This window comes from Homo sapiens, chromosome 7, assembly GCF_000001405.40.
Source record: "Homo sapiens chromosome 7, GRCh38.p14 Primary Assembly".
In the NCBI taxonomy this organism is placed as follows: Eukaryota; Metazoa; Chordata; class Mammalia; order Primates; family Hominidae; genus Homo; species Homo sapiens.
In genome coordinates, this window is record NC_000007.14 from 77652890 (window position 1) to 77675699 (window position 22810).

At 42.9% G+C, this 22810-nt stretch overlaps 2 long non-coding RNA genes across 5 annotated transcripts in view; one reads left to right on the forward strand and one right to left on the reverse strand.

Moving 5' to 3' along the window:
- Positions 1-451: 451 nt before the first annotated feature.
- LOC105375363 (uncharacterized) lies at positions 452-5532 on the forward strand. Of its 2 annotated transcripts, XR_927695.3 has the most exons (3): positions 452-850; positions 970-1108; positions 2867-5532. It is a non-coding gene; the product is annotated as an uncharacterized LOC105375363 (long non-coding RNA). The 2 variants fall into 2 exon arrangements; XR_007060397.1 differs by having other exon boundaries at positions 452-1108.
- Positions 4771-22810, reverse strand: part of APTR (Alu-mediated CDKN1A/p21 transcriptional regulator) — a 39686-nt gene continuing 21646 nt past the window's right edge. For 2 of the 3 annotated variants that reach the window (NR_134254.1, NR_134253.1), the window contains one exon: positions 4771-6429. This is a non-coding gene — a long non-coding RNA (Alu-mediated CDKN1A/p21 transcriptional regulator). Of the gene's footprint in view, positions 6430-8308; positions 8445-22810 lie in introns of all 3 variants that reach the window. The other variant, NR_134251.1, reaches the window with a different exon arrangement.

Here is a 22810-nt window from a genome sequence, read left to right on the forward strand (position 1 = left end):
TTAGCCAGGATGGTCTCGATATCTTAACCTCGTGATCCGCCTGCCTCGGCCTCCCAAAGTCCTGGGATTACAGGTGTGAGCCACCACGCCCAGTCCCCAAGACATATGTTTTAAAGCCTATGAGTTCGCCAGGCATGGTGGCTCACACCTGTAATCCCAGCATTTTGGCAGGCCGAGGCGGGTGGATCACCTGAAGTCAGGAGTTAAAGACCAGCCTGGCTAACATGGTGAAATTCCATCTCTACTAAAAATACAAATATTAGCTGGGTGTGGTGGCAGTCCCCTGTAATCCCAGCTACTTGGGAGGCTGAGGCAAAAGAATCGCTTGAACCCGGGATGCGGAGGTTGCAGTGAGACGAGATCGCGGCATTGCACTTCAGCCTGGGCAAGAGAGCAAGACTATGTCTCAAAAAAAAAAAAAAAACAAACTTCTTGAAGCTGGGCGCAGTGGCATGTGCCTATCGTCCCAGCTACTCAGGAGGCTGAAGTGGGAGGATTATTTGCGCCCAGAAATTTGAGGCCACAGTGTGGTATATCATCTGTCAATAGCCACTGCACTACAAACTGGGCATCCTAGCAAGAACCTGTATCTCCAAAAAAAAAAAACTTGAAAAGTGATTAAGACTATCCACGTGTTTTTTCTTACTGTTTCTGTCTACTTCCTAATCTGCAGATCTGCAAATGGAATAAATGCAAATGGGATAAATGCAAAATGGAATAAATGTCTGGCAGAAGTCAGAATCTGGAATTTTTACCAATTTTGTCCAATTTAATTTTACAGTCAACTTGATCAGCTACTGAGGTGTGTTGGAAGTCATAGCCACAATATTTTGCAGCTCCTCCCATCAAGGTAGTGTTTGTTTTCCCAGCCCTAGTATTTGAGCTGGCCTTGTGCCTTGCTTTAACCAATAAAATGAGCAGATGTGTTTCTGGGCTGGTTCTGAGACCTTAAGAGACCTTCTGCTTCAGTCTCTTGGGGTCCTGCTGGCATGTAAAGAAGCTCAGGCTAAGCCATGGACGGATGAGAGACCACGTGGGGAGATTCCCAACAAGTCCCAACCCACATCACATGGAAGAAAGTCATACAGCAGCGCCCTCATGCAGAATGGTGAGAAATCATTAAGTGTTCTTTTAAAGTTATGTTTTATAGTAGGTTTCTAATTTATTATTTTTTCAGATGTAGAGATGGGGCCTTGCTATGTTGCCCAGGTCGGTCTTGAACTCCTGGCCTCAAGCAATGTTCCCATTTCACCCCCTCATCGTGCTAGGATTACAGGCACGAGCCACTGCACCTGGCCTACGGTAGTTTATTATGCAGCAATGTATGACACAAACAATTACAATAATGGAGAACAGAACATAAGTTAAATCTACAAATATTTCATGTAGATTCTACTTTTTTCCTATCCACTATCACTTTTCCACTGTTTGTAGGTGTATAAAATCACCTTGTGTGTCCCTTCTCTTTTCCTTTCCACAGCACGGTACTGGTAATGAACAGCAAAAATGTCAAAAGGCTGTAGCTAAATGCCAAAGAATTTCCAAAGTCTTAAGCCTTAAATAATCAGAAATGTGCCTGCATGTTTGATAAAACTCTCTAAGAAGCTCTTAAGTCTGGGAAAGCATTTACCCAGACTGTAAAATAGAAAGGCATTCTAATAGTCCTTTTAGCAATTATGTTTTTTAAGGCTAGAATGATATATACACATAATGATTTTTATTGTGAAAGTCTTAAGCCCATGATTGGGAGTTAGCACAAGTCTAAAAATCCTTCTTTTTTTTTTTTTTTTGAGACAGGGTCTCACTCTGTCACCCAGGCTGGCATGCAGTGGCCCAGTCTCGGCTCACTGCAACTTCCACTTCCTGGGTTCAAGTGATTCTCCTGCCTCAGCCTCCCGAGTAGCTGGGATTACAGGCACGTGCCACCATGCCTGGCTCATTTTTTTGTTTTTTTTTTTTGTAGAGACAGGATTTCACCATCTTGGCCAGGCTGGTCTCAAACTCCTGACCTCAAATAATCCACCCACCTCGGTATCCCAAAGTGCTGGGATTAGAGGTGTGAGCCACCGTGCCCAGCCTCCTTTTTATTTAAATGTCTCAAAACAATTATTTGAGAATTTCTAATAGGCAATGCTGTATCCACTGCCTACAACTTACTTATGTAGCAAGCGTCCATATGGTGCTCACTGTGTCCACATACTGTTTTAAGTAAATCATTTAACTAACCATATAGGCACTATCTTCAATCTCCATTTATAGATTTGGACATCAAGTTAAAGAGAGAAGTTAAGTAACTTGTCCTAGGTTACAATGCAGGGAAGATTTGTTCCCTCTATACTAGATGAAGGATGTGGGAGAGGAGGCGGGACTGGAGTTAGGTGATATTATATATTGAAGTAACAGCTCTGTTTAAGTAATTCTTCCCAGGAAATTAACCATGAGAGCATAAAGGCCTTAGCATTTGACATCTATTATGTAGCTCCAAGCTTTCTACCTTATCTGTCACTCCCACCGCTCCTCCACCCTAACCTTCAACCAGAAATTTAGCCCCCAAATATACCTTGGAATTTTCCAACTCTGTGCTTTGCTCCTTTGGCCCCACCCTGACCACTTTCTCCAAAAGCAAAAGTAGAGTGACATACCTTTCAAAGTCCACCAAGTTTACTTTGTTTATAAAGCCTTCCTACTTCTCCATGTACCACTCCCTTGACCTCTGGCAGAATCAGCTGCTTTCTCCATCAGGCTTCCTTAGCTCTTGTATTCTGTGCAGTTTTTCCACATCATTTAAAATTAGCTGTTTATAAAATATGTCTTCCACATTTGCTTGCAAGCTCCTTGAGGGCCTAACCTGATTTTCTGCTTACAGGTGGACCCAGATGCACATAACTTGCAAAGAAATTGTCTGAAAGGAGGTGGCCGTCAGTCAGAGTGAAGAAGGTACCCTTTTCAGACTGTTACATGAATTTTAAATTCCAACACTTTGGGCAGCTGAGGTGGGAGGATCACTTGAACCCAGAAGTTCAAGACCAGCCTGGGCAACATAGCGAGACTCCATCTCTGAAAAAGAAAAAAAAATTAGTGGGACATGGTGGCGTGCACCTGTAGTCCCAGCTAGTCAGGAGGCTGAGGCAAAATAATCACTTGAGCCCAGGAGGTCAAGACCGCAGGGCGTCATGATTGTGCAATGCAGTCCAGCCTGAGCAACAGAATGAGACCCTGTCTGAAAACAAACCAACCAACCACTTCTAGAAGCACTTGCATATAGTGAAGAATTCATAATTGAGTGGCAGAGAGACAGATTATGAGGCATCCTTCCTGATGGAGTGTTTTATAGGAAAGGTAATGTGGCTCTGGAACTAGCGGCTGTAGGGGCTGGCTTCCGGATCCTGGCATCAACAGCATGTTTTGATAGCCCAGGTCTATAAAGTGGATTTGTGAGTCACTCCTGAAGCTCAGCCTGTACACTGTTTCTTTTTTCTTTTTTTTTTTTTTTGAGATGGAGTCTCTCTCTGCCGCCCAGGCAGGAGTATAGTGGCACGATCTTGGCTCACTGCAACCTCCGCCTCCCGGGTTCAAGCAATTCTCCTGCCTCAGCCTCCTGGGTAGCTGGGACTACAGGCGAGGGCCACCACACCCAGCTAATTTTTGTATTTTTAGTAGAGACAGGGTTTCACCATATTGGCCAGGCTGGTCTCAAACTCCTGACCTTGTGATCTGCCCACCTCGGCCTCCCAAAGTGCTTATACGCTGTTTCTTTAATCTGACAAATTTTATGATATACCATGTAATAAGTCCCTTTTGGCTTAAACCAGCTAAGGGTAGATTTTACCTCTGCGTTGAACCCAGACCAATGCATCTCCTCTAAGAAAAATTATTGTCAATAATTCTCAAACAATCGCCTCTCTAATTTAAAAAGCAAAGTAAATTCAGTTAACTTGTTAACAATTTCCTGAGTTCATAAAACACATATTCCAGGAAGATAAGCCTTTTTTCAAACAAAGAATTCATAGAGCTATTTCACATTTACATTGTCTAAACTTTCTAAAAATAAGTGTTTTTCAGACATTTAAAAATTAATCCAGGCAGGGTGTAGGGGCTTGTGCCTGTAATCCCAGCACTTTGGGAGTCTGGGGCAAGAGGATTGCTTGAGCCCAGGAGTTCAAGACCAGCATTGGCAAGATAGTGAGACCCTGTCTCTACGAAAACATTTTTAAGGCTTGGTGCAGTGGCTTATGCCTGGATTCCCAACACTCTGGGAGGCTGATGCAGGTGAATCACTTGAGGTCAGGAGTTCAAGGGCAGCCTGGCCAACATGGCAAAACCCCATCTTTACAGAAAATAAAAAAGTTAGCCAGGCGTGGTGGCGCACATCTGTAATCCCAGCTACTAGGAGGCTGAGGCAGGAGGTAGAGGTTGCAGTGAGCCAAGATCACACCACTGCACTCCACTCCAGCCTGGGCAACAGAACGAGACTCCATCTCAAAAAAAAAAAATGTTTTTTAATTAGCTGGGTTAATTTTTTAATTAGTCTCTAGTCCCAGCTACTCAGAAGGCTGAGATGGGAGGATCTCTTGAGCTTGGAAGCTCAAGGCTGCAGTGAGCCATGATCATGCCACTGCATTCCAGCCTGGGTGACAGAGTAAGACCTTGTCTCAAAAATAAAAATAAAAATTAATCCATGTTTATTAAGACAATTTTTAAGATGATTTTTGAAAGGTAATTTACGTTATCTCAGCAAAATTTTCAATAATGTGAACTACAAGGCATAAATCTTTAGCAAAAAGATTTTTATTCAATATTTTATTATCAAACATTCAAACAGAAAAGTTGAAAGAATTATACAGTGGGCCATATCATATAATATACTCATCATCTAGATTCTACAATTAACAGTTATTTTTATCACATGTCTAATGATCTATGCATCACTCTATTCATCCATTAATTCATTTTTGTTTATATATTTCAAAGTGATTTGCAAACATGAGTACACTTCACACCTGAACACTTTAGCACAGCAAAAGGATTTTTTTCAGGTATAGTATTTGTCCACTGGAGGGCCTCCAAATGCCATAAAATGCATTAAAAGTAAGTTCATCTGTAGTCCCCAAGAACTGGAGAAGGTCCAGGGAAGGAGATGCATGGAGTGTAAATTGCATCAATTAGGGCAAGAGACTCAATCTGAAATCCAGAAAGAAGATTTCAACATTTTTTATCTTTACCCTCAGAATTTCTCTTCCTCTTTTTACAGCTACTTTCATTGTAAAGGAGAAAATATATCACAGGCCTCTCTCCCCAACAAATGATTTGAGCTCTTGAAGGTAGCAATTCTTTAGACCAGAAACTCAGGAAACTTGAAGTCAAGATGTTGTTATATTTGTGGAAATGAGTTGATGACATAAATTAAATGTTTGTTAGTTTGTTGATTGTTAACTCTCCACGAGGACAGGGATTTAGTTATCACTTGTCCCCAGAATGTAGACAGACACTCGTTGGAACATACTAGTGCTCAATAAATATTTACTGAAGAAATGAATGAATCCAAGTGCTTTATTCCAAGTATAATCTTCACACATTTAATGTCATTACTGATGAAAGTTAAGACAATTAGCCTACTTTTTAGTGTAATAGAAATAGAGCTCAACATAGCTATGTAATATAATGTATACCATTAAATTCCAAAAAGGAAAACAATCTAAAATGTAACTCATTTTTCCAAAAACGTGAAGAAATCTCGAGGATTCCACTGGGAAATTACCTTTAAAAAAAAACAAAAACAAAAACAAAAAGGGCTGTGCACAGTGGCTCATGCCTGTAGTCCCAACACTTCGGGGTGCCGGGACAGGAGGATTGCTTGAGCCCAGGAATTCAAGACCAGTTTGGGCAACCCAGGGAGACCCTGTCTCTACGAAAAATAAAAATTGAAAAATTAGCCAGGCTTAGTGGTGCATGCCTGTGGTCTCAGCTACTTGGAAGGCTGAGGTGACAGGATCACCTGAGCCAGGGAGGTCAAGGCTACAAGTGAATGATGATAATGCCACTGCACTCCAGCCTGAGTAACAGAGCAAGACTTTGTCTCAAAAAAACCCCATAAAATATGGATATAGATTGATTATTGTAGATCTGGAGCTGCAACTACAGAAATGACCATTTTTTGCTATGTGCAGCAGAAGAGTCAGCTTAAGCCTTCCCAGCTTCCGGGGCTCAGCTGGCGCTGCTGGGGCAGGTGCTGCAGAGACTTGTGTTGCTGGGTGGAAGTCGCGCTGCCTTCTGGAGAGGGCCACAGAGAAACTTTCCAGAATGGGCTTCCCAGAAGCAAATGTGAAGTTTTGAAATGGGGCTGAACTTCTGTGAATCCATGGGAACAAGAGCCAGTGGAATTTGAATCGTTCATGTTACTCTCCTTTTGTACCCACAGACTGGTGATACCTGAGGAAATTCAAGTACATTGCAATTTTTTAATTAACTTTTTTTTTTTTTTTTTGAGACGGACTCTTGCTCTGTCGCCTGGGCTAGATGGCGCGATCTCAGCTCACTGCAACCTCCGCCTCCTGGGTTCAAGCGATTCTCCTGCCTCAGCCTCCAGAGTAGCTGGGATTACAGGCGCCCCCCACCACGCCCGTCTAATTTTTTGTATTTTTAGTAGAGACGGGGTTTCTCCATGTTGGTCAGGCTGGTCTCGAGCTCCTGACCGCAGGTGATCCGCCCACCTCAGCCTCCCAAAGTGCTGATATTACAGGTGTGAGACACAGCACCGGGCCTTTTTTTTTTTTTTTTTTTGACAGCGTCTAGCTCTGTCACTCAGACTGGAGTGCAGTGGGACATCATGACTCATTGCAGCCTCTAACTCCTGGCCTCAAGTGATCCTCCCACCTCAGGTTCCCAAGTAGCTGGGACTATAGGTGCACACCACTGTGCCCAGCTAATATTTTTTTATTTATTTTTTTAAGAAATGGGGTCTTGCTTTGTTGCCCAGGCTGTTCTCAAACTCCTAGGCTCATGCAATCCTCCCACCACAGCCTCCCAAATACTGGGATTACAGGCATGAGCCACTGCATGCAGCCTTTAAATTAGCTTTTTTTTTTTTTTTTTTTTTTTTTTGAGATGGAGTCTCGCTCTGTCACCCAGGCTGGAGTGCAGTGGCGCGACCTCGGCTCACTGCAAGCTCTGCCTCCTGGGTTCATGCCATTCTCCTGCCTCAGCCTCCCGAGTAGCTGGGACTACAGGCGCCCGCCACCGTGCCCGGCTAATTTTTTGTATTTTTGGTAGAGACGGGGTTTCACGGTGTTAGCCAGGATGGTCTCGATCTCCTGACCTTGTGATCTGCGTGTCTCGGCCTCCCAAAGTGCTGGGATTACAGGCGTGAGCCACCGCACCCGGCCCAAATTAGCTTTTTAAGGTAATCATTTTCTTTAATACTTCTTTGGCCTAGAAGAGCATCTCCATATTCAGCACAAATTCAGGAAACTAACATATATCTCAAACAGCAGTCAGGGGCTGGGCTCACATCTGTAATCCCAGCACTTTGGGAGGCTGAGGTGGTGGATCACCTGAGGTCAGGACTTTGAGACCAGCCTGGCCAACATGGTGAAACCCTGTCTCTACTGAAAATACAAAAATTAGCTGGGTGTGGTGGCGGGCACCTGTAATCCCATCTACTCCGGAGGCTGAGGCAGGAGAATCACTTGAACCCGGGAGGCATAGGTTGCAGTGAGCCGAGATTGCACCAGTGCACTCCAGCCTGGGCAACAGAGTGAGACTCTGAAAAAAAAAAAAAAAAAAAAAGGGCAGGGAGCAGTGGCTCACATCTATAATCCCAGCACTTTGGGAGGGCAAAGCAGGCAGATCGTGTGAGCTCAGGAGTTCGAAACCAGCCTGGCCAACGTGGTGAAACTCTGTCTCTGCTAAAAATACAAAAATTAGCTGGACGTGGTCGCGCGCACCTATAATCCCAGCTACTTGGAAGGCTGAGGCACGAGAATCACTTGAACCCGGGAGGCAGAGGTTGCAGTGAGCTGATATCGTGCCATTGCACTCCAGCTTGGGAGACAGAGCAAAACTCTGTCTCGAACAACAACAACAACCAAAAAAGAAACAAAAATTAGCCGGGCGTGGTGGCGGGCGCCTATAGTCCCTGCTACTTGGGAGGCTAAGGAAGTAGAATCACTTGAATGAATCTGGGAGGCAGAGGTTACTGTGAGCCGAGATCGCGCCGCTGCACTCCAGCCTGGACGACAGAGAGAGACTTCATCTCAAAAAAAAAAAAAAAAAAAAAAGACCCAGTCTCTACAAAAAATTTAAAAATTACCGGATCATGGTGGTGCCTGTGTGTAGTCCCCTACTCAGGAGGCTGAGATGGGAGGATCACTTGAGCCCAGCAGGTCGAGGCTACAGTGAGCAGTGATGGTGCTACTGTACTCCAGCCTGGGTGACAGAGCAAGATCCTAAAATAAAAAACAAACAAACAAAACAAAACAGCTATTAGGAGAATTTTTAAAAATATTTTTGTCAGCCAGGCGTGGTGGCTCATGCCTATAATCCCAGCACTTTGGGAACCAGAGGTGGGCAGTTCATTTGAGGTCAGGGGTTTGAGACCAGCGTCGTCAACATGGTGAAACCCCGTCTGTACTAAAAATTACCAGAAAATTATCTGGGCTTGGTTGTGGGCACCTATATCCCAGCTACTCGACAGGCTGAGGCAGGAGAATCTCTTGAACCCGCAAGGCGGAGGTTGCAGTGAGCTGAGATCTCGACACTGCACTCCAGTCTGGGCAACAAGCAAAACTCCATTTCAAAAAAAAAGAAAGAACGAAATTTTTTGTCTCTACAGCAGAATGAGACAAAAATTATTTTTTGATTGTTCCTGCACAGATAATAACATAAACAGTAATTTTAAATCTATCAGTTTTCCTGTTAGCGATCATAATGGCAGCCTATCTAGGTGGGGAGCTAGGGAGAGGGAGAACAGAGAGACTTTAAAACCATAAAAATCACCTTTTATTTGATACCCCAAATAGGTTCTAGGATAAATTTTATGAGATGGAAGTATGTGAGGAAATAAGGTACATACTATTTCCATGTTGCAAAACTCAGTTTAGTGAAATAAACTACAAGAGGTTAGATGTGTGAAGCAATATCCTGCTACAGTTAGTGCTGCCTTCACACTAAAGAAATGTATGATTTGTAGACACCAGGCCCCGCCAATAATTTTTTTTTTTTTAAGACGGGTTCTCACTCTGTCACCCAGGCTGGAGTGCAATGGGCGTGATCTCGGCTCACTGCAACCTCCGCTTCCCAGGTTCAAGTGGTTCTCCTGCCTCAGCCTCCTGAGTAGCTGGGACTACAGGCGCACACCACTGCGCCCAGCTAATTTTTGGATTTGTAGAGATGGGGTTTCACCATGTTGGCCAGGCTGGTCTCGAACTCCTGACCTCATTATCCGCCCGCCTCGGCCTCCCAAAATGCTGGGATTACAGGAGTGAGGCACCATGCCCAAGAATTTTAAATGGCCCAATGATGACTGTTGTTTAAGTAAACTTAGAGAAAATACCCTTTTTCATCATCAGAGGCTCACTTCCACTGGGTGGAATGTGATAGATTTCAAGCACCAAACAGTGGAAGAAAAATTTATCCAGTTTAATTACAATAAATTCCTTTTTTGGCCCAGTCTTTGACTTTCCTATTTATCTTGGAGTTAAAATGTCCTTTTTGTAAATGATGGGAATGAATAGGTTTTTAACATTTCAAGGTACTCACCTTGGCAAAAACAAAAGTTAAAAAACTCCATGTTAGTCCGGGCGTGGTGGCTCACGCCTATAATCCTAGCACCTGAGGTCAGGAGTTCGAGAACAGCCTGGCCAACATGGTGAAACCCCGTCTCTACTAAAAAATACAAAAATTATCCAGGCATGGTGGCGCACGCCTGTAGTCCCAGGTAGTTGGGCGGCTGAGGCATGAGAATCACTTGAGCCTGGGAAGCAAGCCGAGAGTGCACCACTGTACTTCCACCTGGGTGACAGAGTGAGACTCTGTCAAGAAAGAAAAGAAAGAAAAAGGAAGGAAGGAAGGAAGGAAGGAAGGAACGAAGGAAGGAGACAGAGAGAGGGAAGAAGGAGAGAGAGGAAGGAAGGAGGGAAGGAAGGAGACAGAGAGAGGAAAGAAGGAGAGAGAGGAAGGAAGGAGAGAGAGGAAAGAAGGAGAGAAGAAGGAGGGAGAGAGAAAGAAAGAAGGAAAGAAAGAAAAAGAAAGAAAAGAAAAAGAGAAAGAAAAAGAAAGAAAGAAAAAAGAGGAAGAAAGAAGAAAGTAAGTCCATGTTAGTCTCCAAAATTATTTTGGAAATTTTACTGTAATAAAATTCCAATATCTGGAATGTCTAAAGAGTATCTTCCAGAGTAGAGTTTTATAACGCAAAAGATGAATACATTAAAATCACCAATTATTTTAAAAATTCATTTTTCTTATGCAGGTACCAGACAGGAAACTGAACAAAATTGACTGGTAAAACAGGAATGCCTCTATTTTTAGCCCTTGCAAAGCATCTCAAATTCTCTCAGGGGATGTACTAAAGTTAACCAGTAAAAGGTAGCTTTTTGGTATAAATGTAAGGGATACAAGAGCAGTTTTGTGATGTGAATATATTGTAGTGGTGAAGTCTGGGCTTTTACTCACCCAAATAATGTATATTGTACCCATTAAATAATTTTTCACTCCTCTACCCCTCCCACCCACCCTTCCAAGTCTCCAGTGTCTATTGGTCCACACTCTATGTCCATCTGTACACATTATTTAACTTCCATGTGTAAGTGAGAACATGTGGTATTTGACTTTCTGTTTCTGAGTTGTTTCATTTAAGACAATGGCCTCCAGTTCCACCCATGTTGCTACAAAAGATACGATTTCATTTTTTTATGGCTAAATAGTATTCCATTGTAATATATATGTATATATGGGCCGGGTGTGGTGGCTCACACCTGTAATCCCAACACTTTGGGAGGCTGAGGTGGGTGGATCACCTGAGGTCACTCCAGCCTGACCAACATGGAGAAACCCCATCTCTACTGAAAATACAAAATTAGCCGAGAGTGATGGTGCATGCCTGTAATCCCAGCTACTCGGGAGGCTGAGGCAGGAGATATATATATACCCGCACACCAGGCCAGGTGTGGTGGCTCATGCCTGTGATCCCAGCACTTTAGGAGGCTGAGGCAGGTGGATTGCTGCAGCTCATGATTTCGAGAACAGTCTGGGCAACATGGTGAAACCTCTTTTCTAATTTTTTTTTTTGACATGGAGTCTCACTCTGTCACCCCAGGCTGGAGTGCAGTGGTGCAATCTCGGCTCACTGCAACTTACACCTACTGGGTTCAAGTGATTCTCCTGCTTCAGCCTCCCGAGTAGCTGGGACTACAGGCGCGCACCACCATGCCCAGCTAATTTTTGTATTTTTAGTAGAGACGGGGTTTCCCTAGGTTGGCCAGGGTGGTCTCGAACTCCTGACCTCAGGTGATCTGCTTGCCTCTCGGCCTCCCAAAGTGCTGGGATTACATGTGGTGAGCCACTGTGCCCGGCCTGAAACCTTGTTTCTACAAAAAATACAAAAATTAGCTGGGTGTGTTGGCCCGCGCCTTTAGTCCCAGCCACTAGGAAGGCTGAGGTGGGAGGATGGCTTGAGCCCAGGAGGCAGAGGTTCCAGTGAGCCAAGATCGTGCCACTGCACTCTACCCTGGGTGATAGACCCAGACCTTGTCTCAAAAAAAAAAAAAAGAAAAAAATGTATATAATTATGTATGTATACACACACACACATCACATTTTCTGTATCCCATCATTTGTTGATAGACATCACTTTAGTTGATTCCATATCTTTGCTATTGTGCATAGTACTGTGATAAATAGATGAGTGCAGGTATCATTTTTTTCTTTTTTATATAGTGATTGCTTTTCCTTTGGGTAGATACCCACTAGTGGGATTGCTCAATCAAATGGAAGTTCTATTTTTAGTTCTTTGAGAAATCTCCAAACTGTTTGCCATAGAGGTTTTGCTAATTTACCTTTCCACCAACAGTGTGTAAGTGTTCCCTAAAAACTAGTTTTTGAAGTCAACTGCCTAAGTATACTTCCTAGCTCTACCATCTGCTAGCTACATTATCTTGGTCAAATTACTTGAGCCACTCTGTGCCTCAGTTTCTTCATTGATAGAACAGGGTTAATAACAGCATCAAGATCACAGGGCTGTTGTGAGGGTTAAAGCAGATAATCTATATAGAAGCTGAATACACTGCCTGACACAAAAGCACTAGTTTACTGCTGGCTGTATTAGTTAATGTTTAGGCTAACTTGCTGAAATAACTGTTTTAAATAAGAAATGTTTATTTCTCCCCTGTAACAGTTGTGAAGATAGACATGAGTTCATCCAGGGACCCAGCTGGCCATGTCTCTACTTGCCTCTGCATTTAGATTCCATATCTGAGTAACAGGCAGTTGTCTTCAACCACATGGGGTTGAAGTAGCTCACCAGTACCCTGTCCATATTCCAGCCCTGAGTAAGGCAATGTGTGGAGAGTAGGCAAGTTCATTCTTGAGGTCATTAAAGCAGAAGAATGCTGATCACTTCCACTTATATCTCATTAACCAAAACCTAGTTCAAATGGCCACACTGATTTACAAGGGAAGCTGGGAAATGTCTCCAGCTGGGAAGTCATGTGCCCACCCATCATTTTGAGTGAAGAGGGGATCTATTATTTATTTTTATTTTTATTTTTATTGTTGAGATGGAGTTTCGCTCTTGTCGCCCAGGCTGGAGTGCAGTGGCGCGATCTCGGCTCACTGCAACCTTCGCCTCCTTGGTTCAAGCGATTCCCTGCGCCCAGCCAGGGATCTATTATTAAAAGGGAAAAAGGAGGCCTGCTCTAATGACCTCATTTTACTCTAATTACCTCTCTAAAGATCCTGTGTCCAAATACACTCACATTCTTGGGTATTTAAGGACTTCAATATATGAATTTTTGGGGAGACATAATTGGGCACACAGCATGGGTTAAAGAAAGTGGAAATTGTATCCTTTGACTTTTTTTTCTCCACCTTTCTGTGTAAGAAGGAAAGGATATCTTTTGGAAAAAAGATACGGAGAAGAAAATGCCCAGGAATGTGTAGAAGCAAGGATCCTGCATTGTTCTTCTGGTAAGAAGAAAATGAAGGGGATAAAATGGGTCTCTGGGGTACATTGCCTTTAGCTCCAGAAATGTAAATGGGCTCTTAGGCTCCTTCTGTTACAGGCTTACGTTCCTCATCCTAAAGACAAGAATGCCATTAGGGTTATTAGTAAAAGGATGTTTTCATTTTACATTTATGCCTGAACTTAATAAGTTTCCATTTTAAACCAAGAAATAAACTCAGTCAGCACTTTTATTTATTTTATTTTTATTTTTTGAGACAGAATCTTACTCTGTTGCCCAGGCTGCAGTACAGTGGTGTGATCTCGACTCACTGCAACCTCCTCCTCCCGAGTTCAAGTGATTCTCCTGCCTCAGCCTCCCAAGTAACTGGGATTACAGGCATGCACCACCAAGCCCGGCTAATTTTGTTTTTTTAGTAGAGACAGGGTTTCTCCATGTTGGTCAGTCTATTCTTGAACTCCCGACCTCAGGTGATCTGCTCGCCTTGGCCTCCCAAAGTGCTGGGATTATAGACGTGAGCCACTGCACCAGGCCATATTTCTTCTTTTTATTTTTATTTTTTTGAGACAGACTCTCACTTTATCGCCAGGCTGGAGTACAGTGGCTCGATCTCAGCTCACTGCAATCTCTGACTCCCTGGTTCAAGCGATTCTCCTTCCTAGGCCTCCTGAGTAGCTGGGATTACAGGCACGTGCCACCATGCCTGGCTAATTTTTGTGTTTTTAGTAGAGATGGCGTTTCACCACGTTGACCAGGATGGTCTTGATCTCCTGACCTCGTGATCCACCCACCTCGGCCTCCCAAAGTGCTGGGATTACAGCTGTGAGCCACCGTGCCCAGCCATTTTTTGGTATTTCTAGTAGAGACACGGTTTCACCAGGTTGGCCAGGCTGGTCTTGAACTCCTGACCTCAAGTGATCCACCTGCCTTGGCCTCCCAAAGTGCTGGGATTACAGATGTGAGCCACCACGCCCCGTCAGTCAGTATATATATATATTTTTTTAATCAAGGAAATTAACTGTGAGAATACAAGGATAAACAAACCAAGTAATGAATGTCTTCATCACTTTAGTTTTTGGTCATTAGCCAGCGTTTAATCTTTAATTATAAGTTGAGTTTCTGTTCCATGCAACTGAAAAAGATCTAACACAGGTGGAATAACTGAGGAAGACTTCATGGGAGCCATGGGATATAAAGCGGCAGGACAGAGGCAGAGTGTATGTCAAGGGGGAGGGCCTCCTTAGTTGTGACATAGGCATCATAATGAGCACAGTGAGAAGTCTGCCTTTGGATAATGACAATAATTTACACTGGCAGAGTTGTGTAGCAGGGGTCCCGATTTAAGTCTAAGCTCTGTTCCCTCTAGGACTCAGCCATGGGGGCGTCCATCTGGAACACTGGTGGAGTTAGTCCACCGGAGGATATATTCACATAAGGGACAAAATAGCCTTTTGGGAGTCAGAGCGCGTGCATTTGGTTTAAGGCAATGTGAAAAACCGTAAACAATCTCAGATTTCACCCAACTTACAAGCTAAAAAGTTCGCCTGGCACATGGATGCTGGCAGAAGATATCATAGTCCTGAGCCAGAATGAAGAGTTTCTTACTCACAGCAATAGCCATAGCAATAGCCAGAGTATCAGTTTTGTGGTTTGTTTTTGGCATTAGTTAGCAAAGTCCCAATTTCCATAGGGAGAGGCAAAGAAGGCCAGATGGCATCTGCCCTTGCAGTGGGCTGCTTTACAGAAGGGGAACCTTCAGCTTCAGGAGCCTGAATCTTTTATAGTGGCAATAAACTTGCTTGCCCTTTGCTCTGGAAAACCTTATTCCTATCCTCTAAGACTGTTTGCTCTACAAACATCCCTGAAGAGAGAGTCCTGAAAGAAGGGCAGTCAGTGCTTCACTCACCAGATGTGCAGAAATGCACAGAGATCATGAAGAATGATCTCTGCCTAGGCCAGTGTTTGAGTGAAAGGATAATTCCGAGGGTCTGTCCTGGTAACCTCTCACCCATTCTAGCTCATACAGATTCACACCAGAGTTCTAATTTAAGGGGGTTGTAATTTAAGGGGGCTGTGATAAAAAAGTAAAAACTAAAGGGACTGTTTCATTGAAATCCTGTTCCATCACTGAGAGTGCAAGAAATTAGTATCACTGGTATCATTTATTTTGACAAAGCTAATGAATGTGGCTTTGGTACCAAGAGGAGGCATTACCACATCTATAAGCACATTATCACAGTGGCCTGGACTGAAGAGGAGGAGAGTAGAAGATACCACCTCTTACTTAAAATGATACGTTCATGGATGCTTGTGATATTACAACATTAGCCTGAAGTTTAAGTTTCCAAGAAATAATTTTAAGTCTCTAAGGAATTTAGAATGATAAAGTTCCATCGGTACTTGATGACTTTTGGACTATCCTCAAAAAACCCAATCAAATTTCCATCAACGGTTAGTGATTTCTCAACTATCCCCAAATATCCCCAAATAATACTCTTTAATACAAATAGTATTAAAGGGCAGTTTCTTAATCTTTTTTCCACATTATCACAAAGAATGGATGATGTTTATCTGTATGATGTATTTCCATGGATGTACTCAAATTTGGGGAAAAAAGGAAAAAAAAAAAAACACCCTGCAACAATTTTATTAGTAAATGAAGAAAATAATACTACAAAATCATTTTGTTAAATATTCACTTAAGGCTGGGCATCATGGTGGCTCATGCCTATAAACCCAGCACTTTGGGAGGCCGAGGCAGGGGGATCACTTGAGCCCATGAGTTCGAGACTACCCTGGGCAACATAGTGAGACCCCATCTCTACAAAAATTAAAAATTAAAAAAATTATTCTGGTGTAATGGTAAGTGCTTGTAGTTCCAGCTACTAGGGAGGCTCAGGCGGGAGGATGCTTGAACCTGGGAAGTCTTGGCTGCAGTGAGCTCTGATAATGCCACTGCACTCCAGCCTGGGCAACAGAGTGAGACTGTTTCAAAAAAAGAAAAGCCTTGGGTCCAGTGGCTCACACCTATAATCCCAACTCTATGAGAGGCTAAGGTGGGAGGATCACTTAAGCCCAGGAGTTCAAGATCCGCCTAGGCAACAAGCGAGACACTGCCTCTATAAAACATAAAAAATTAGCTGGGCAGGCGTACACCTGCAGTCCCAGCTACTTGGGAAGCTGAAGTTGGGGGGGAGGATCACTTGAGCCCAGAAAGCTGTGGCTGCAGTGAGCTGTGTTCGCACCAATGCACTTCAACCAGGATGACAGAGTGAGACCCTGTCAAACAAAACAAAAAACAAAAAGAAAAACAAAAGATGTTCACTTAATGTTAAGAATTCAACAATAGTGAAATCAGTTATGTAAGAATTGCCAAAATGTAGCATATCTAATTTTTAAATATCATGATTTCTCCCCCAGCCTTTACTCACAACACCAATAAAACAAGTACACATTATTTGAAAAGGCATAAAATTTATTGTTAAAAACATAAAATTGGTAGATTCCCTCCATGTTATTGATATAAGGAATATTTTCACTTTCCTTTGAGAGTTTTCACTTGGCTATCATAACTGTTAGGACCCTACTAACAATGTTCAGAGACTACTGTTTTTGTGTACTGTAGATGTTGATGCACTCATTCACAATTTTCTCTTCTGTGGGTATGGGTGAAGTTTCCTTTATTTATTGATTTTTTTAGAGATGGGGGTCTTGCTTTGTTGCCCATGCTGGAGTGCAGTGGCATGATCATACCTCACTGCTGTCCCGAACTCCTGGGCTCAAGCAATCCTCCCGCCCCATGGGTGAAGTTTTAAAAAGTGAATTTGAAATACAAAAGTAATTCAAAATGGCCATAAAAGTAGGCTGTGGTTTATGTATAACTCCCTGCATGGAACTCCTTTCTCTCTCAGGAAATTATATTGGAATGCATGTGAGAAAGTGATTTCTAAAATGCCTCATAATGGTCTGTGTGGGTATACATACATATACACAGATAAATAATTCAAAACTTTGGTACCTTATTGTAGATGTTTGTTCCTTGAACATCTTGCATACCAAGATAAATTATTTTGGATCACCTAATATCAAAAAGTGACATACCCAAACCAAACCAAAACAAAAAAACAAAATGTGGATAGGCATGGTAGCTGACGCCTGTAATCCCAGCACTTTTGGAGGCTGAGGTGGGAGAACTCAGGAGTTTAAGACCAGCCTGAGCAACATAGCAAGACCTCGTCTCTGCTAAAGAAAAAATAAAATGGGAGGTGGGGTGCCAGCCACAGTGGCTGATGCCTGTAATTCTGGCACTTTGGGAGGCCAAGGCAGGTGGATCACTTGAGGTCAGGAGTTCAAGACCAGCCTGACCAACATGGTGAAACCCCATCTCTAGTAAAGAAATACAAAATTAGCTGGGCATGGTGGCACACGCCTGTAATCCCAGCTACCTGGGAGGCTGCTTGAACCCAGGAGGCAGAGGTTGCAGTGAGATTGCACCATTGCCCTACAGCCTGGGCAACAAGAGCGAAACCCCGTCTCAAAAAAAAAAAAAAAAAAAAAAAAGAAACAAAAAAGTGACATACCAATGTGTTATTTCACTAATGTTGCAAGTGCTGAGCAAGAGGACATCTGAGCAGATGATGTTGATGAGGTATCCTCTGAATGTGAGATTTCCTAGGGTGAAGGTAAAACAAGCGCTAAGGGGACTTTTACATAGGTTAGGGTACTTACCTGTCTGGAAATACTGCAGTATCTGAGTGAAGAAGTTCAATGAGAAAATAATTGTTAAAGCTAGTCTAAATGCACCTTATGCCAACCATAGTTACCGTGAGAGTTATTGGGAACATCTATTTCTCCGTAACCAGGAGACAATTGGGAACTTGGCTTTTAGCACATTTTACTTTTTTTTTTTTTTTTTTTTTTTGAGACGGAGTCTTGTTCTGTCACCAGGTTGGAGTGCAGTGGCACGATCTTGGCTCACTGCAACCTCCAGCGGCTCACTGCAACTTCCGCCTTCCGGGTTCAAGCAATTCTCCCGCCTCAGCCTCCCAAGTAGTTGGGACTACAGGTTCATGCCACCAAGCCGGGCTTACTTTATTTTTTTTTTAAGTTAATTAATTTTTTTTTTTTTTTTTTTTACTAGAGACGGGGTCTCACCATGTTTTCCAGGCTGGTCTCAAACTCCTAGGCTCAAGTGATCCTCCCGCTTCAGTCTCCCAAGGTGCTGGGATTACAGGTGTGAGCCTGTGTGCCTGGCCACATTTTACTTTTCTTAGAGCATATTTAACACTTGGGTTTATATTTCACTATTTGTGTATCTTTCTCTCCTTCCTAGATTGTAACATCCCGAAGGGCACTGGTTGTGTATTTTTACTCTTAGAATCCCCCACAGTGCCTCACATCCAGTGTCCAGGTTTGTTTAGAATTTGGAACTGGGGAAGAACCAAGGAAGAGGCCCCAAAGATGGACACTAATGCTTTTTTTTTTTTTTTTTTTTTTAAAGAGACATGGTCTCACACTGATGCCCAGGCTGGAATGCAGTGGTGCAATCATAACTCACTGCAGCCTTGAACTCCTGGGCTCAAGCAATCCTCCTCTCTGTCTCCTGAGGAGTGTGCCACTATACCTGCCTTATTTTTTAAACTTATTTTTTGTAGAGACAGGGTTTCACTATGTTGCCCAGGATGATGTTGAACCCTTGGCCTCAAGCAATCCTCCCACCTCCAGCCTCCCAAAGCACTGAGTTGTAGTTGTGAACCACCACACCCAGCTCTCTTCTTCTATAAACTATGCCTGAGATAGCTGCTTTTGGGAGCATTGTTGGTGTTTGCCAGTTTCTAAGCATGATTCTCCAGCCAGCTGAAAATCCTCTGATATAGTTCTGACAAATTCCCCTTTGCTTACATTAGCTGAAATTGGTTTCCCTTGCTTACAACCAAAGAACTGTGATAGCAGAAAACAAAGGCAGTTGGCCCGGCGCCGTGGCTCACACCTGTAATCCCACCACTCTGGGAGACTGAGGCAGGTGGATCACCTGAGGTCGGGAGTTTGATCTCCCAGCCTGGCCAACATGGTGAAACCCTGTCTCTACTAAAAATACATAGTTAGCTGTGCATGGTGGCACGCGCCGGTAGTCCCAGATACTCTGGAGGCTGAGGCAGGAGAATCGCTTGAACCCAGGAGGTGGAAGTTGCAGTGAGCCGAGATCGCACCACTGCACTCTAGCCTGGGCCACAAGAGCGAAACTCTGTCTCAAAAAACAAAAACAAAGAGAAAACCAAAGGCAGCCATCTTTCTCCGGTTTTCAGCAATCTCTTCTGGTACCTCTCCATCTAAATCTGTCTTTCCAGTTCCCACCACCAAAGTACTTGGAATTGTTCAAGCCTTAGTTCTTGAGGCCCCAAACACTACATCCACATTGTTCATGGGGCAATTTTTAAATAAAAAATGTGTGAAAGAATTCCTCTTAGAAATTTAACATGTAACTTTTAATATGCTACTGAATTGCAGCAAACATGCGGAAATACTGGCAAAGACAGCTGTAGATGAAACAGCCAAGGGAGAGCCAACAATTATGGTTGGTGTTAAGTTGGATGAATTGAAATAAGAGACAAATACTTCATAGAATTGTATTAAGGCATATGCATGAAAAAGGAGGGAAGCAATTATTTTTGCTTTATTTGGCACTGGGCAGGCTTCAGTTGGAACAAACTATATTTAATTTTACATGTCATACTATATAAAGAGAAAAAACTTGGAGACTGTTCAGAGAACAGCAACTGATGAAAGGTTTGTGAAATTAGACCTATGAGAAATTGTGAAAAGAACTGGGCATGTTCAGTCAAATGCAGGACATCCAGGTGTGATGAATGGTGAACAATTAACTGTAAGTATGTGAAGAGATGGTTACCAAGTCTCAGGTATAGGGGAAACAGAAAGGTAAATCATGGGATTAAAAAAACAAACAGGCCAGGTGTGGTGGCTCACACCTACAATCCCAGCACTTTGGGAGGCCGACGTGGAAGGATTGCTTGAGCCCAGGAGTTTGAGACCAGCCTAGGCAACAAAGCGAGACCCTATTTCTACAAAAAATAGGAAAAATTAACTGGTCATGGTGGTGCGCACCTGTGGTCCCAGCTACTTGAGAGGTTGAAGTAGATGGTCACTTGGGCCTAGGATGTCGAGGGGGTAGTGAGCTGTGATTGCACTACTGCACTCCAGAGGGACATCTTGCCTCAACAAACCGCATAGCAATGGAAGTAGAGACCAAATATTGTGAAAAGGTTAAACTAAAAAGCTTTGAAGAAACTGATGGAGTTATAATTTAGAATTCTGTATATACTATTATTGAAACAATTGAATTCAATTTTATACTTAATTAATTAGAAATAACTTAGAAGAAAAAGTTTTTGATGGATTGCATTTTTTTTTTAAGACAGAGTTTCGCTCTTTGACCCAGGCTGGAAAGCAATGGCATGATCTTGGCTTGCTGCAACCTCTGCCTCCTGGGTTCTAGCGATTCTCCTGCCTCAGCCTCCCAAGTAGCTGGGGTTATAGGCGCCTGCCACCACGCCCAGCTAATTTTTGTATTTTTAATAGAGACCAGGTTTCACCATTTGGCCAGGCTGGTCTCGAACTCCTGACCTTAGGTGATCCACCTGCCTCAGCATCCCAAAGTGTTAGGATTACAGGTGTGAGCCACTGTGCCCGGCCAACGGATTGCATTTAACAAGTAAAAATCATCAGACCAAGTGTGAAGGATGTTTTTAAGAAAAAACGGTGTATTTGGGGGGTCTTCTTTGGGACCTAGGCTAGCTAGAACAGAGAGGAGCTCTGGTATCCTCTTTCAGCTCCTGAATAAGGGCAGTTCCTCTGTGAGTAGGGGATTGCTTGGGGGAAAGGGTAGGAAAAAAAGTGTGGTGAACAGCTTCTCTGGCCCTTGGAGTTTATCCCTCATTAAAGATTCCCCAGGAATCCCCGCCATGAGATATATAATTCTCTCCAGAATGGTCCTGTAACATATTTAATTAATAAAATCTAATATGCATGTTCAAAATCTTTCAATTTTTTTAAATAAAAAGCTGAGATCCTCTGAGTATTCGTTTCTTATTTGCACCCCTTCTTGCTAAACTAGCTTCATTATACTGCTTTTATGTCTCCCTGATGGTAATTTTCTTGTTGCTATTATTACTGTGTATGCTTGGTAGAGAAATTAGATAAATCTTTAAGAAATGAAGAATTTTTTAAATGATCGAAAGCCAAATAACATTTTAATAAAATTCTGGTAAGCAAAGTTTTTAAGTTGTTACATAATTATCTAGTTAACATTCTTATTTTTAAAATTGTATTTTAAATTTGAAATGTAATGCAATGCATTCATACAACTTAAAACTCAATAGCTCCAAGAGGATATCTAATAGAAGTTACCAGCCTGGTGTGGTGGCACATGCCTATAGTCCTAGCTACTCGGGAGGCTGAGGTAGGAGAACCACCTGAGTCCTGGAGTTTGAGGCTGCAATGAGCTATAATTGCACCATTGCACTTCAGTCTGGGTGACAGAGTGAGACCCTGTCTCAAAACAAACAAAAAACCAAAAAACAACAAAAACAAACAAAATCCATACGTGGGCTTTTGTGTGGACATAAACTTTCAACTTCTTTTGTAAATGCCAAAGCTTCCTTGTTAAATACCAAGGAGTGTGATTGCTAGATCATGGGGTAAGAGTATGTTTCATTTTTTATTTTATTTTATTTTATTTTTATTTTTATTTTTTTGAGACGGAGTCTCTGTCACTCAGGCTGGAGTGCACTGGTGTGATCTCGGTGGGATTACAGGCGTGAGCCACTGTGCCTGGCCTGTTTCGTTTTTTAATAAACTGCCAAACTGCCTTACAAAGTAGTCTTCCATCTTACATTCCCACTAGCAACGAATGAGTTCCTGTTGCTACACATCCTCTCCAGCATTTGGTGTTGCCAGTGTTCTGGATTTTGGTCATTCTAATAGGTGTGTAGGATGGGCACTGTGACTCATACCTGTAATCTCAATACTTTGCAAGGCCGAGGTGGAGGACTGCCAGGAGGTTGAGACTGCAGTGAGCTATGATCATACTACTGCACTTCAGCCTTGGCAACAGAAGGAGATTCTGTCTTTAAAAAACATATCATCCTCATCATAGTTTTTTTTGAGGTATGGTATTATTGTGTTTGCATTTCACTGATGACATATGATGCGAAGCATCTTTTTTTCTTTCTTAGAAAAAATCCAGATCCTGCACAAGAAGCATCTTTTCATATGCTTATTTCTCATCTGAATATCTTCTTCGGTGTGATGTCTATCAAGGTGTTTGGTCTTTTTTTTTTTTTTTTTTTTTTTTTTTTTTTTTTTTGAGATAGTGGTCTCACTGTTGCCCAGGCTGGAGTGCAGTGGTGCATTCTCAGCTCACTGCAGCCTCCGCCTCCCAGGCTCAAGTGATCCTCCCACCTCAGCCTCCAGAGTGAGTAGCTGTGACTACAGTGGCATGCCACCATGCTTGGCTAATTTTTGTATTTTTAGTAGAGACGGGGTTTCACCATGTTGGCCAGGCTAGTCTCAAACTCCTGGGCTCCAGTGATATACCAGCCTCGGACTCCCAAAGTACT